General features: G+C 36.8%; 1 pseudogene, besides 2 other annotated features; it reads left to right on the forward strand.

The window, feature by feature from the left end:
• Positions 827-1,553: an enhancer, noted in NCBI's record as "OCT4-NANOG-H3K27ac hESC enhancer chr5:116040271-116040997 (GRCh37/hg19 assembly coordinates)". NCBI's record gives its function as "activates a minimal SCP1, AML or CMV promoter by ChIP-STARR-seq in naive H9 embryonic stem cells {active_cell/tissue: H9 hESC(naive)}" and the evidence as "EXISTENCE:reporter gene assay evidence [ECO:0000049][PMID:30033119]".
• Positions 960-1,059: an enhancer, noted in NCBI's record as "active region_22949". NCBI's record gives its function as "activates an Ori minimal core promoter by ATAC-STARR-seq in GM12878 lymphoblastoid cells {active_cell/tissue: GM12878}" and the evidence as "EXISTENCE:reporter gene assay evidence [ECO:0000049][PMID:35858748]".
• Positions 12,470-12,948, forward strand: RPS17P2 (ribosomal protein S17 pseudogene 2; annotated as a pseudogene).

Here is a 16,594-nt window from a genome sequence, read left to right on the forward strand (position 1 = left end):
TTCTATTTGTCAGCATCTTGTTCAAGGTAAACTGGGCCAGTAACAAGTATGAGCTTGAAGGATTTAAATAATGGAATTAACTGACTTTGTTGTATTTCTCTATTTGACCTCAATAAACACAAAATATATATTTTCCCCTCATGTTTATAAAGCATATACAAGATTTAATTACATACTTGGCCTACAAAAAGCTTTAATATTATTTCCCCAAAGTAGAACACTTGTACAACATATTCTCCTACCAAAAAACCAAAATATTGAATTTCTACAGTAAACAAAATAATAAAAATCTACTTCAAATAAAAAAACCTCTTCTAAATGACTCTTGAATCGAGAGGAAACAAACGAACAAAAACAACGGAGATTACAAATGCTTTAGCAATTAATGTAAATGAGCCCTCTTCATTGAGAAATCTCCATAATGCGAATAGAGCCCCAGTCAGAGTAAGCTTCATGACTTTAACCTTTCTATTTTAATAAAATGAATCAGAGACTTAGTTCAGGGAACAACCTAGGAAACTTAGAAAAAAGAACAAAATAAATTGCAGGTGAAAGCGAGAAATAAATAAAAGATGGAAATTACTATATATATATTTAAAAACCTATCAAAGAGACTTTAAAGAACACTGGACTTATCAATAAAACCAAAACTGTTTTTTTTTTTTTAAACAAAAATACTTAATGGATAGGCTTGCCAGATAAAATACTATACGCCTAGTAAAATTTAAATTTTAGGCTGGGCGCAGTGGCTCACGCCTGTAATCCCAGCACTCTGGGAGGCCGAGGCAGGCACATCACCTGAGGTCAGGTATTTGAAACCAGCCTGGCCAAAGTGGTGAAACTGTCTCTACTAAAAATACAAAAAATTAGCCGGGCGTGGTGGTGCATGCCTGTAATCCCAGCTACTCAGGAGGATGAGGCAGTGAGAGAAGAGAGACAGACCTTCTCATATTGTTTTATATTGTTTTATACTCAGAAAAGGAAAGAGAAGCAAAACTAAAGGTGCCTAGGATTCAGACCCGAAACCAAGGAATCAGACCTGAAACCAGGCCTGGGCCTGCCTGACCTAAGCCTAGTAGTTAAAATTCGACCCCTGACCTAGCAACTGATGTTATCTATAGATTATAGAAAGACATTGTAAAACTTCCCAGTCTGTTCTGGGAACTTTTCTGAAACAGTTTCTGAAACAGAACTGTTTCACTCTGACCACCGGTGCATGCAGCCCCTGTCACATACCCCCTGCTTGCTCAATTGATCATGACCTCCTCATGCGGACTCCCTTAGAGTTGTGAGCCCTTAAAAGGGACAGGAATTGCTCACCTGGGGAGCTCGGCTCTTGAGACAGGAGTCCTGCCGATGCTACCGGCCGATAAACCTCTTCCTTCTTTAACTCGGTGTCTGAGGAGAAAAGAATAGTTATCATCTTTGGAAAAAAAAAAAAAAGGGAGGGTGGAATTTATATAAAAAGAATGTTATATGGTAAATTATTGTCCTGAAATATATTAACTGGTTGTTTAAAGAAAGAAATGTTTGTAATAAGTCAGAAAGTTAAGGCATGTCGAAAAATTGCCTGTAAAAGTCGTGAAAAGAAAAAGTTATAAAAAAAAGTGTGTTAAAAAGAAAGAATTTATGCAAGAAATGTATAATTTAAAAGTAATTAGGCCTCCTAAATGTAAAACTATTGAAGAGACAGTTTATGTGCAAGGTGTATAAGGAAAGTAAAGTATATATTTGGTAAAAGGATTATAAGGAGGCATAAGAATGTGGATTTTTACCTACATTAAAAGGTTAAAAATATGTGTATTTTGTTTTAAAGGTTTAAGGAAGTTTTAAAACATTAATTGTGTGTAAATTCTGTGTGTAAACATATTAGCTAAAGTTAAAGAAGTATCATCCAGTTTTTCTGTAAACCGGACATTAAATAAAAGCATAACAGGTTTTTCTTAAAGCACCAACCTGTTCTTTAACAAAAATTATAAATGGTTAAAAAGAGTCTAAAACATCTTACCTTATAGTCAAACATTAAAAATTAGATAAATATGTCTACAAGATTTTATTAAAATTAAGTTTAACATTAATAACACACTAATATAAAGATAAAATTTAGCTTATCTGGTATAAAAATCATACAAAAAGCATTATTAAATATAAAATGGTTTTTAGCTCTCTTTGGTCTAAAGGCTAATAAAAATAGGTGCTAAAGGAAATTTCTCAGTAAAAAGGCACTAAGGACTATAAAGTCCACTGCCAAGGTCCCCACATTCAAAACAAAAGGTCGATTTCTTAGAAATTATATACTTGGTTTACCTTCCACTTTCCTTTCCCTCAAAACTAAAAGTCTTTTAGCACATGTACTACCCTTAGAATTTCCGGTAAACCAGCAGCAGCCTGAAGATCACGTTCTCATCGAAAGGTGGAAAGAAGAAAAACTCCAGTCAGCCTGGGAAGGACCCTACCTTGCGCTGCTAACCACCAAGACTGCTGTTCGTACAGCAAAAAAGGATGGACTCTTCACATCCGAGTCAAGAAAGTGCCACCCCCTCCAGACTCGTAGGCCGTAGTCCCAGAGGAAAACTCTACCAAACTAAAGCTAAGAAAAATCTAACTATTTTCATCTATTCTATTACTCGTTCTTCTTTTCGCGCTCTATTGCTGACCATCTAGTTATTAACATAACCAAGTCAATTTCGCCTCAAACTGTTGCATTTAATGCTTGCCTTGTTATAGCCTGTGAGGACTTGCCAAGTCAAAGACAGCTGTCTACTTCAGAAAAGTACTTCTGTCCCTCCTGACTCTCCTCAGACTGGGCATTAGTAAACTAAGGCCATTTAATCCAGGGAGATTTCAATAAAGGCCCCAGTGCCAACCAGGAGTCTTGCCCCCTGAGGCAGAGCTTTCATGCCATAGTTGGTCCAACATTCTGTGGACCACTAAAGAACAAGGATGGACTGCCCCAACTGGTTTTTGTAATTTCCTAAAATCATACATTCATTTTTCTAAAAGATCATAGAAGTTAAAGACTTAAGACAAACTTTAGCAATTAAGACAAGATACCAAGATGCAAATGCCTGGTTAAAATGGATCAAATATTCCATCTGCACGTTAAATAAAAGCAATTGTTATGCTTGTACACATGGCAGGCCAGAGGCCCAGATTGTCCCTCTTCCACTAAGGTGGTCCTCCAGTCGACCAGGCGTAGGCTTCATGGTAGCCCTTTTCCAGGATTTTACAGCCTGGAGTAATAATTCATGCCAAGCTCTCTCTGCTATATCCTGAAGTCCGGCACCCTGCAGGTCAGCCCCCGAGGGCCATCCAGCTTCCATCTCCCAACACTAAGTTCACTTCGTGTCTCTCACAACAGGGAGGAAACAGCATTCCTTGGAGACCTGAAAGGATGCGATGAGGCCCCTGTTCATCCCTGAGCGGATGTGTGGTGGTATTATGGTGGACCTTTACTACGCACTCTGCTGAATAACTAGAGTGGGACTTGTGCTTTAGTCCATTTGGCTATCCCTTTCACCCTGGCATTTCATCAACCAGAAGGAGAAAATATAAAACATCGTAAAGCGAGAGAAGCCCCTTATAGGTCTTTCAACTCTTACATCTATTTAGATGCAATTGGAGGCCTGCAAGGAATACCAGATCAATTTAAAGCTTGAAATCAAATAGCTACAAGATTTAAGTCAATATTTCAGTAGGTGACAGTTAATAAAAATGTAGATTAAATAAACTACATCTATTACAACCAACAGCAACAAGCTTTTCATGAGTTAAAAGAAAAACTCAGGTTGGCCCCAGCCCTAGGGCTAGCTGATCTGACAAAACTTTTTACACAGTATGTGTTGAAAAAAGGAAAAAAAAAAAATGGCAGTTGGAGTTTTAACCCAGACTGTAGGGCCCTGGCCAAGGCCAGTGGCCTATCTCTCAAAACAGCTAGACAAGGTTTCCAAAGGCTGGCCCCCATGTCTAAAGGCCCTGGCAGCAATGGCCCTGTTAGCACAAGAAGCAGATAAGCTAACTCTTAGGCAAAACTGAAACATAAAGTCCCCCCATGCTGTGGTGACTTTAATAAATACCAAAGGACATCATTAGCTAACGAATGCTACTAGATACCAAAGCTTGTTCTATAAAAATCCCTGCATAACCATTGAAGTTTGCAACACCCTAAACCCCACCACCTTGCTCCCGGTATCACCCAGCCCAGTTGTACATAACTGTTTAGAGATATTGGACTCAGTTTATTCTAGCAGGCCCAACCTCTGAGACCATCCTTGAACATCAGTAGACTGTGAGCTGTACATGGACAGGAACAGCTTCGCCAACCCTTGCAAAGTGACTCTAAAGATGACAAGCCCGGCTCCAGTCACACCCGGAAGCTGACTGGTCCACGCACAGCCCAAGCATGAAAAAACTCATCGCAGGACTCATTTTCCTTAACTTTTAGACTTGTACAGTAAGGACTTCAACTGACCTTCCTCAGACTGAAGGCTGTTCCCAGTATATAAATCAAGTCACTAAAGTGGCACGAAAGGTTGCTATGGTCCTATTATTTTATGGTTATTATAAGTGTGCTGAAACTCTAAAAAAAAACTTGTTTGTATAATGTTATTCTATACAAGGTATGTAGCCCAGGAAATGACCAACCTGATGTGTGTTATGACCCATCTGAGCCTCCCATGACCACAGTTTTTAAAATAAGATTAAGGACTGAGGACTGGTGGAGGCTCATAAAGGATACAAGTAAAGTGTTAGCCAAAATAGACAAACAAAAAGGTGCCCAAATGAGTCACCTTAAAATTCGATGCCTGTGCTCTCTTATTATTAATAATAAGTTAAAAATAGGATGAGGTTCTCTTAATTAAGAAAGAGGTTATATGACAGAAAATAAGTACATTTATCATAAATTAAGACTGTGTAAAAATAAATGTAGATACTGGTCTTGTGTCATTTAGGCTACTTAGATGAAAAAAATGAAAAACTCCTGTCCACCTTCAGCAAAGGAAAAGTGGCCCTTCCTGTACCAGTAGCCAGTGTAACCCCTTAGAACTAGTAATAACCAACCCCCTTAATCCTCGCTAAAAAAAGAGGAATGTGTAACCCTAGAAATTGATGGAGCTGGACTGGATCTTCAAATAAATATCATAGTTTGAAGAAAAGTTTACAAACGCTCTCCTGAGCCAGTATTTCAAACCTTCTATGATGAACTGAATGTGCCAGTACCAGAAATTCCAGGAAAAACAAGAAATTTGTTTTTGCAATTAGCCAAGCATATAGCCCAGTCTCTCAGTGTCACTTTGTATTATATATCAGCACAAGTGTACTATATGAATCATTATCAATCTATTGCACAGAAAGACATAAGTAGCAGAAATAAGAGTGAGAACTCCCGCTAATAAAAAGTGAGAGTCTCAAAGGGGAAATGAGAGAAGAGAGACAGACCCTCTCATTTTGTTTTATACTCAGAGAAGGAAAGAGAAGCAAAACTAAAGGCAGGTAGCCCAGCGCCCAGGAACCAGACCTGAAACCAAGGAACCAGACCTGAAACCAGGCCTGGGCCTGCCTGACCTAAGCCTGGTAGTTAAAATTCGACCTCTGACCTAGCAACTGATATTATCTATAGATTATAGAAAGACATTGTAAAACTTCCCGGTCTGTTTTGTTTCACTCTGACCACTGGTGCATGCAGCCCCTGTCACGTACCCCCTGCTTGCTCAATTGATCATGAACCTCTCAAGCGGACCCCCTTAGAGTTGTGAACCCTTAAAAGGGACAGGAATTGCTCACTCGGGGAGCTCGGCTTTTGAGACAGGAGTCCTGCCGGTGCTCCCGGCCGAATAAACCTCTTCCTTCTTTAACTCAGTGTCTGAGGAGTTTTGTCTGCGGCTTGTCCTGCTACAGCAGGAGAATCGCTTGAAACTGGGAGATGGAGGGTTGCAGTGAGCCAAGATCATGCCGCTGCACTCCAGCCTGGGCGAGAGTAGAGTTTCTGTCTCAAAAAAAAAAAAAAAAAATTTCAGATAAACAATAAATTCTTTTTTAGTGTAAGTATATAAAATCGTTACCTTGTGTATAATTATTATACAAATTATTATTCATTTTTATCTGAAATTCAAGTTTAACTAAATTTCCCATATTGTTATTTGCTAAATCTGGCAATGCTGTTAATGGAAGGGAGTATTATTTAAAAGTTTAAAACTTGAGACGATGGAATCTAGATGAACTTTGTAAGAAAGTCAAAATTACATGAGTTGCATCAAGAGATGACAAAAAACAAAAGCTAAACAAAGAATTTAGTACTGCAGAAACAAAAAAGAATGTTAAGTATCTGTTATAAAAAGAGTACTAGGAATTCTGTTTTCATCTTTGGAAGAGTAACAAGAACCAGACTTAACTTTCTGCAGTGAAACTGGACAAAATATATGGAACAACTATTTTTAGATATTCGGCAACAGGCAGTGCACACCATGATCCCTGAGAGAAGGGAATGAATGAGGTAAGCCCTAAGATCTTCTTGGCTGAATGCTTGAAGTGATTTTCAGACATAGGCAAAGGTAGAGGAAACTTACTCAAAGACTTGATGAGTTGTGAAGATGTAGGTTGGAGGTGGGAATGTAGACATGGCCAGAAATTGCAAAGCATAGTTCTAGAAATGAAAGACCTGCATAGAAACAAAAGCTGCAAAACCTGTATAGGGTTTACTAGAGGCCTTGCTGAGGATGCATAGAGTGAAACTCCAAAAAATAGGGGTGCGGGAGGGAGGAAGACTGAGAAGTTGTATGCTGACCGATTCCCTCAGTACATGTAGAATGACTATAGGTGCAGACATCTTGAATGGCATGTACATTAAAATTGTATAAAGAAATACTTCCTCCTTAAGTGGAATTTATTCTATGAAAGCAAGGATGCTTTAAATTATTTTGACAAATAGAGCATGATCAAATGGTATATATTCAAGGAATGAAAGCATACTACATTAGCACATCTATCAATTTAGCCAATATTGATGGAAGCTCAAAAACAAATAGGAAAAGATAAAAAATTCCTAAGTATAAAAAATAGTACTTTTAGACATAAACAACAACTATCATATTAAATTCAGAGAAGAAGGATCGGATGCTCTCTTCATCTTTTTCTTTTTCTTTTTTTTTTTTGTTCTTTTTTTTTTTTTTTTTTTTGAGGTGGAGTCTCACTCCGTTGCCCAGGCTAGAGTGCAGTGGGATAATCTTGGCTCACTGCAACCTCCATACCCCAGGTTCAAGTGATTCTTGTGTCTCAGCCTCCCTAGTAGCTGGGATTACAGGTACCCACCACCATGCCTGGCTAATTTTTGTATTTGTAGTAGAGATAGGGTTTTGCTATTACGGCTAGGCTGGTTTCGAACTCCAGACCTCAAGTGATCTATCCCTCTCAGCCTCCCAAAGTGCTGGAATTACAGGCATGAGTCACTGCACCCGGCCGCTCTTGTCAACTTTTTCACACTGTTCTGAAGATTCTTTCTAGTTAATGCAATCAGACAATATATAAATGGCATCTGCATTAGAAAATATAAAATTATTATTATATAAGCAGCAAAAATGACCACATGCCTACAAATTAAATAGATCTAAACAAAATAGTATTCAAAGTAATACTAGAACTCACAAAAGTATTTGGAAGCAAAATGAATACATAGAAGTAGTTTATTTATGTCAGCAGTAGATAGTTAACATTAGTTTAAAAAATCTCAATGATATCAACAACTGTGAAAAGTCTCACAATAAATTTAATGACAAATGTATAATTTTTCATGAGGTTCAGCAGTCACAGTTGCCTGAAAAGATATAAGGCTGAATAAATGTAGTATATTTCATATTTCATGAATAAATGTAGTAGTCAGGATATTATCTTTCTCAAATTCATGTATTAGTCTTCTGAAACTCCCATCATAACCCTGACATTGTTTCGGTGAGAAGTCAGTAGAAGGAAACTTGCCAGGATTTTTAAAAATTATCTGAAAGATCATATGTATAAGATTATTATTCAAAGTTGTTTTGAAAGGGATTTTATTGTGTACAGACTTAACTTACTAAATATTAAGAAATTCTGTAATATAATTAAAACATTATGGCGTTAGTACATAATGAACAAATAAATAAAAAAACAGTAAAGAGGGTCCATTAAGATATGAAAAGAAAGACTGCACTGGACATCTGTGGAGCAGGAATGTATTTTATAATGAATGACATTAGGACAATTGAATTTCTCTTTGAAACTACAAAGTTAAATATCTCTTTGTATCAAATACAAAAATAAATTCCATTGAACTAAAGATTTAAACACAAGAACAATTAAAATACTAAAATCAATACTTTCTTTTTCATTTCTTTTCTTTTTTTTTTTTTTTTGTGACTAGAGTCTCGCTCTGTCACCCAGGCTGGAGTGCTGTGGAACAATCTTGTCTCACTGCAAACTTCGTCTCCTGGGTTCAAGCGATTCTCCTGCCTCAACCTCCCAAGTAGCTGGGACTACAGGCATGCACCACCATGCCCGGCTAATTTTTTGTGTTTTTAGTCGAGATGGGGTTTCACTGTATTGGCCAGGCTGGTCTCGAACTCCTGACCTCATGTGATCCACCTGCCTCTGCCTCCCAAAGTGCTGGGATTACAGGCATGAGCCACTGTGCCCAGCCTTAAAAGCAATACTTTATTATACTTAGGTAACGAAGGTCTTTTAGATATGACATAGAGATCAGAAATCATAAAGAAAACGATTAACGTATTTTATAATATAAAATTCCGAAACTTCAGTATGGTGAAAAACACTGTAAATAACTTAAAGAATAAATAACAAATCAAGGAAAGAACCCTGTGATTATCTATCTATCTATTATCCATCTGTCTATCTATCTATCTATCTATCTATCTATCTATCTATCTATCTATTACAATTTCAGTGATATGTAAACAGTTTTTAAAAATCAATGAAGTAAAGACAATAACCCAATGGGAATCTGCACAAAACATATAAGCAGGTGATTTGGGAGAAAAAAGTCAGATAATTGATTATCAATGAACAAATAAGAATATTCTAAACCTTGTTAATAATGTTAAAATTTGAATTAAATTGAGATATGATGTTCATATTTAATGTGTTATGTTTGCAACCATTTAATAACCGATAATACACAGAGTTGGTGGGGTTATGGGAAAATAAGGATTTTTATGCATTTTAATGCTTATAAACTATTACAACATTTTGAAAAGAAATTTAACAGTAATCATCATATTTTAAAATGTTTTTACCTTTTGATAGAAAAATTTTACCTCTAGGATTTATCATATTGAAGCATATAATAAATGAGCTAGATGTGTTTGATGAGCTAGATTAGTACAAAGGCCCGTGGATGTGTTGGTCACCTGCTTCCTCTAGGCCTTAGATTCTACACACCCCAGAATCAACTTACTAACTCCCTCCCCTTCCAGTAGTTGGCTTCTATGGGTCCGTCACTAGCCCATGTCTTTTTAGATGAACCCAGCCCCATACTCCATGGTTCCTATAATATTTTATACTATTTTTCTCTACTATTACCTCCTTGTATATGATTTCTCAGAACAAAGCCCTCTGCCTTGTACCTCTAAAAATGCTTTTTCTAACATGGAATCAAGCCCCTGGACTGTGGCATCTTCATTACTATGTGGTAGATCTTCTATTCATATAAAATCCAGCTCCAAAGAGATCACTGGGAGACGAGGTTGATATGACCCTTAGCGCCTCCAGTTAATATTTAAACCCCACTGTAATATATGTAACCACTACATTTCATATATTCTAAAATGCAACTATTTTCTCTCCTCCTAGCATCCCTGAAATCATGACATGTCTTTCAAGTCAATGGCATATTGCAGTTTAGGTGGCAATATTCTTCCTTAGTAGGACTTACGACAATAATGTATCTTATGATCAATGGTATTTTAGTTTCAATAAAGTTCAGTTGTTATACCTAGTTTAATACAAATTTTATTTTATAATACATGCTATTTTATATTGCTAATGAGATATGTCACATGGAACTCTATCAACACACTGATCATTATGGTTAATGCATTTTTTAAAACATTTGTTTGTTTTTGCCTCTTCTTAATGTGTTACCTCATCCATGTTTTAGGAAATGTTTTTTAGTTTTCAGGCTGTTATTTACCAAAAATAGGTATTTGCGAACTGATAATATGCTTTGGTGTTATTCTTGACCCTGACAATGTACCAAGTTCTGGTTTCTGGGTATCATTTTATTTAGCATTTTGATTTGATTGTTGCTTTCTTTTCTCTCTTTTCCCTACCCCTCCCAACCATTGTTTCCTTACTTTGTAAATATTGCATGGACTAAGATTCAGATAAAGTGTTTCTGAGAGAGGCGTAATCTAGGTTATGCCCCTTAGTAGCTATAGAGACTGGGGCAGGTTATTGCAGTTCTCTCAGCCTCCGTGTCCTCATTTGTAAAAGCTTTGTTCAGTGTTTTGGGGAAGAGCAGTTAAGGTAATATACATGGATGTATTTTCTAAACTCAAAAGCTATGACATTTCTGGAGATTATTAATGGCCTCAGAGGGCACCTTCAGTAATAGCTAGTTTTAACTGATTTCCTGAGCATTGATGCAAGGTGCCCCTGCATACTGAGTTAATCTAGGATGAGTTCCTTTATTTCTACTATAGCTCATTATTGTGTTTCCTCATCCTTGATAGCACCTTCTCTAGTCTTCAGATAGCCTTTAAAAAATGGAGTTGCATCAAGGTCATTCACAAGCCTATAACAAAATAAAGGGAAAATGTACCTGTCTTATAAGCCAAGTTGCTCTGTCTTCACCAGGTAGCTTCCCATGCATATAGAGTCCATTCCATGCATATTTCTAAAGTAAATATTCTGCTTCTGTAATTTTGTAATCAATCTGCAACCACAGGATCAAGTACAAATTGCTAACCAATGCAGAACTCTATCCGCTACAGTGTTCTAGGAACAATGAAACTGTAAATCTGGACAAGACTTGGAGTGAATCCCCTTGCTGTAATGGGTAATCACTTCTAAAGCATCTAAGACAAATTAATTTGTTCTATTTTTAAAGACCTCCTGAGGTGATTTTTCAACCTCTCTCAGGAACACTTTCCAATACTTAGCAAATCTTATTGTCAGAAAATGCTTCTTTGTACCTCAAAGTTTCTCATGCCACAGAGTAACTAATGGTTTTTTTTCGTTTCCACCTTGGTGAAATGAGGTAACATTGACAACATATCACATCGTGTATTTGTTTTGTTTATAATCCTTTAATAAAAAGCTCTCCATTGCCTAAAAGGTAACATTCAAACTCCTTGGCATACTATGGAAGGCACATTAGAATCTTCAACTGGATATATTTATAGTATTTACTCCTTACGTCTCCTACATGATTTGGAGTTTAGCTCTGCTAAAGTACTTTCTGAACTCTAAGAATACTATGTTCTTTAATACGTCTTGTTTTTTTGTACATATTATTCCCTCCACTTGGAATGTCTTCTTTCCTCATCTTTCTAGTTGAGTTTTACCTGGTAAGGAAGACTTTCCTTTGTTTCCTAAGCAGTTGGTCACATTGCACTTTTTCCAAGCTTCTATCACAGGATTTGGTTATTTAGTATGATATTGCTTTATAACTGTTTGCATGCAATTTCTTACCTTTCACTAGGCTGTGAGGATTGAAGCCTGAGATGAGTTTTATTCATATGCTTTCTATGTACGGTCACTGACTAACACATAACAGGGGATCAATGAATAAGTTGAAAAAAGGAATGAGTGAATGAAGTCACAATACTCTCCCACTATTCAGAGAAGCAAAAGGCTTCCTTTGCCATAAATTAGGAAGAATATAAATATAAAAAACACAAAAGACCAGCCAAAAGCATCAACATGCTAAGTATCTGTAAAGTTATCCTAATTTAAGTTGTCATTATCAGGAATTGTTGAAGGAGAATTGTAAGTATGTATATCTCTTTGAGGGACATCACCACAGGTTTGTATTACCATTCCTAATGTGAAAAAAAAAAAAACTTTACTAAGTCAGAAAGTCAAGGATTGATGTTTTATTTTCAAAGGTGATTTTTCCATTAGCTTTTCCGTGCCCATCAGCAGGACATTCTGCAAAAGCATATGGATGTTGGCAACCAGTGATGTATCAGATGCATGCCATTAAAAACACTGAGGCAGTCTATCAATGCCATTAGAGGCTGTGATGGCCAGAGATGAAAGACTGAAGAGCCACTTACATAAAACGCATGACACTGGCATAGAATTGTGACACAAATAACCTATCATGAGGTTTTTCTGATTTTATTAACAAATAAAAATATAACTTCCCAATAAACGTGTCCTAGGGAAGGTAAAGTGACTCTGAACTGGAAGGGAACTTGGGATGGAATAGCCATTCTTGTTCCCATTGTGAGGGAAATTCTTAAAATTGCCATTTACGCCCCTTTTACCAAGGACCTGCCAACATGGGCCTCATTCGCACCAAAACCGTGAAGAAGGCGGCCTGGGGCATCATAGAAAAGTACTACATGTGCCTGGGCAACGACTTCCACACGAACAAGCGCGTGTGTGAGGAGATCGCCATTATCCCCAGCAAGAAGCTCTGCAACAAGATAGCAGGCTATGTCACACATCTGATGAAGCGGATTCAGAGAGGCCCAGGAAGAGGTATCTCCATCAATCTGCAGGAGGAGGAGAGAGAAAGGAGAGACAGTTATGTTTCTGAGGTCTCAGCCTTGGATCAGGAGATAATTGAAGTAGATCCTGACACTAAGGAAATGCTGAAGCTTTTGGACTTCGGCAGTCTGTCCAACCCGCAGGTCACTCAGCCTACAGTTGGGATGAATTATAAAATGCCTCGGGGACCTGTTTGAATTTTTTCTGCAATGCTGTATTATTTTCAATAAATCTGGGACAACAACAACAACAACAAAAAATTGCCATTTACAAGGACTCAAAATTTTGTTTTCTCAACATAATCTTTTCCTCATATTATACTGATTCCTACTATTTCTAGATGGTTTGTTAATCTCTTTGTATCGTACCTACTTCCAAAAAGGATATTTGTTTTTCTTGGTTCTGACTATCCTCTGATGAAGGGGTAAATGGGTATTAAATTAATCAGGGTATATTTTTAGTGTAATTAGTTGGAGTTGGTGGGAGGGAAGGGAAAAACAAAGGTCTTCTGTAATTCACAAACTGAAAAATCTACTGCCTCTCTCCATTGCTGTGGCTACTGATGAGGTATTAGACAGCTGTAGGATGCCCCTCTCTGAGCCCGAACATCAACATTTAGGACATGGCAGGAATTAAAACATTGGGGAAAAATAGAGAGCATTAAGGATCACTTAATTACTACCCTAAAGAAATATTGTGTTGGCTCTTTGGAATAGCTATTTTCTGTTTTTAATGAGGAAAGTCAATGATGATTTCCATGTATCTATTGGGACTTAAATTAGCTATTAAAGAAAGAGGTGAGATACAGATCTCTCGTAATTGAGAATATAGGTTCTCTTGTATGTAAACCTTTTAAATAAATGAGCACCAACCCTCACTTCCCTCCCTTCCTCCCTCCTTCCCTAACTTCCTTCCTTCCTTCCTTCCTTCCTGTTCTTAGAATTTGCTTTTCAGGGTTGAATAAATATTTCTTACAGCTCTCTGTAACAAAGCTTTTATTTTTAGGAATACTGTTTCCGTTGCATATTTTACCCTTGTGAGCAGTGTTATTCTATTTGATTCTCTAATGATTTATTAGCAAAGTTCAATTATTGACTTTGTGCATTAAACATGACACTGGCTGATCATATCTGTATTTGGGAACAGGTTAAAGGTTAAGGGTCTTGAGTTTAGAGTCATAGATTTTCCTTGTCATATTACTTTGAGAAGGGTGCTCAAATTTTTAAACCATATATTCCTAATTTATAAACACAAACATAAAAATTAGAACTACTCCATATCCCAGTAGTACCTAATCCATAGGGTTACTGTGCAGATTTAGTGAGATAATGACACAAATAAAGAGCACAGTTATAGTTTTTGAAAAAAATTAAACACTTGACCTTTAGCATTGTTTTAAATCCTGGGACTAGAAGGCAGATTTTAAATCAGAAGGTATAAGATAGAACCTAGAAAACTATATGTGTATATATCATCTCTCCAGGTGATTCTGATACATAAATTATGTTTGAGGACCATCAGTTTAGAACATTTTCTTCCCTTAAAATAGAGCCAGTTTTAACGAGTAAGGATTCCCATCCTTTATTTACCATTTCGCAGAGAAGTTTCTCTGAGAACTTTCCCAGGAATCTATTCCAATTGTCACAAAATATTTTTTTAAATTGTATTTTAAATTATCCGAGCTACAGGAGAGCATAAGATCCTTCATTGCAGCCTATGCGAAGATGAGGCCACTTAACGTGGAATTCTGTCATATGTGGATATTTATGTATGCTCTTGTACCTCTTCCTTAACTGTGAATTTCAATGAGAGAACCAGAGAATGCCTTAGTGTGCATATTGATCTGTATTAAAGTAAAATGAATGGACAAACACCTTATTGAAATTTCCAGAGAAGTAAAGCCAGAAAAACTTTTTAGTGGGAAATTATAAGTGAAAATTTATGGCAGTTTACTCATTATTGCTAAATTGGGTTCCATAAAAACATCACAGATAGTCTCAGGCTTAGTGTGTTGTCTTGACTGATTGATGTGGGAACATCATTATAAAGCCTTTCCTATATTCACTCATGAACAAAATTTCCCTCACCCAAACATCCATTGTGTTATTAAGAACTATGTCATTTGTAACTGACTGAAACTCAATTCAAACTAGCAGAAAAAGGGTGTGTGTGTGAGTGTGTATGTGTGATTTTTTTTTTTTTTGGTTCTTTTAACAATCTAGGGATTAATACATTGTTCTGTTGTTTTGTATGGTTAAAATAAGGAACTGATCAAAGTGTAATTTCACAAATCACATGTTTTATTTCCATACAAACAGATTCTTTTGTTTTTTCAAAATGCTGATGGAGGGAGAGAATAACAAAAACAAATCTTACTGGGTACACGCTCAATAGCGAGGTTGCATTAATCACATAGTGAGTGGGTTCCTATTTCATTTGGAATCCAGTTATTAAAGTCTAGCTGCCAAACTAGGAAGGAGACAATCCTCTGTGGATGTAAAGTCAATCAAAGTTTAAGGCATAGCTTTGCATGAGAAGTTCAGGGACGAGACAGTTTGACCAACACAGCAGAGATCCGAGATGACAAGCAGGGTCCCTTGATGCTAGTGTAGTGCTAGTGTTGGTGGGCTTTGGAGAGTATCTTAAAGGCTGAGAGAGTAGCTCTGCCACAGCCCTGGCTTTCAATCTGTCTGTCAAAATTATGGGTTTATATGTATTTTGGAGTCTAGTAGTTGAGGCAAATAACTCACTTATGTGGTCTGATAAGCAGGGCTTAACATTCTCGTGGGGAGGAGGGATTCTATTCCAAACTCTTATCACAGCAAAACATATGTCACTCAGTAGCAAATTATGTGTTTGGAATCATTTCAAAGCTACATAACACATGTCTTCTGGCATAGCTAGATGTAGGAGTTCACATCATGTCTTTAGGACTCAATAGCTTCTATATGTCACTCAACCTTACTTTTCTTTCAGTTGGCTTCGTTCTCAAGCAGGTCCTTAACTCCATTTATCTCAGCTTAGCTATCCCAGCAGAAGGAGCACCTCTTTTTCCAATAAGTCCAGTAATAGAACCAGAAGTGGCTCTCATTTAATGTAATTTGGATCACATACTTGTTTCTAACCTACCAACACAGTTAAGAAATGGAATATGGTGATTTATAAGCCCTAAGTAATATGCCAATCCCTCTAGGGATGGGGACAACCATATCCTACAAACACAAGAAATTGTCAAGACTGGTGATTCCTTTAAGGAACATTGAGGCACTGATATCACAAGAGGAAACATGCTGAGTGACAAAAGACAACAAATGTCCACAATATATCATAAGGCACTTAGTCCCTTAACCATGAAACTTCCTTCCATCATGAATATTTCACCATTGAGTCTTAGGAAGGGAAGACTAAAGTAGGAACTATTTTTGGGAGAAAACTTAGTAGTTTTAGAAAGGTTTAAATATGATTTTTGCCTAACCTTTTCTTTTACCAATTTATATAATTTTTGTCTACTTGTTTGCCAATGTAATGGGAAAGAGGATTGAATTTATTAGAAGGCTTTTGAATATGTTGAATGCTATATTTAATTATACTTTAATTATCTTTTTTTAAAGGCCAGAGTGAATTAAACTTACATATAAGCCCATGGAGAGCAGGCCACAGGAGATAGATTTATTTTCTGGGAGCCTCTTTGGGCCAGCAGGTCCATGCTTAGTAATATTCCATATGTTATATGCCAAGTCTCCTGCTATGGAAAAGTAGACATTCTATTTATGTGTTAAACATACTTCCAATCAGGTAGTAGTCTCTTTCTTTACTTTCTCTACTTTTCCCAGCAATTTAATCTTCAGGAATTAATTCAGTTTCTTGGGCTTTTTAATTTACAGCATTT

This window comes from Homo sapiens, chromosome 5 (genome assembly GCF_000001405.40).
Source record: "Homo sapiens chromosome 5, GRCh38.p14 Primary Assembly".
In the NCBI taxonomy this organism is placed as follows: Eukaryota; Metazoa; Chordata; class Mammalia; order Primates; family Hominidae; genus Homo; species Homo sapiens.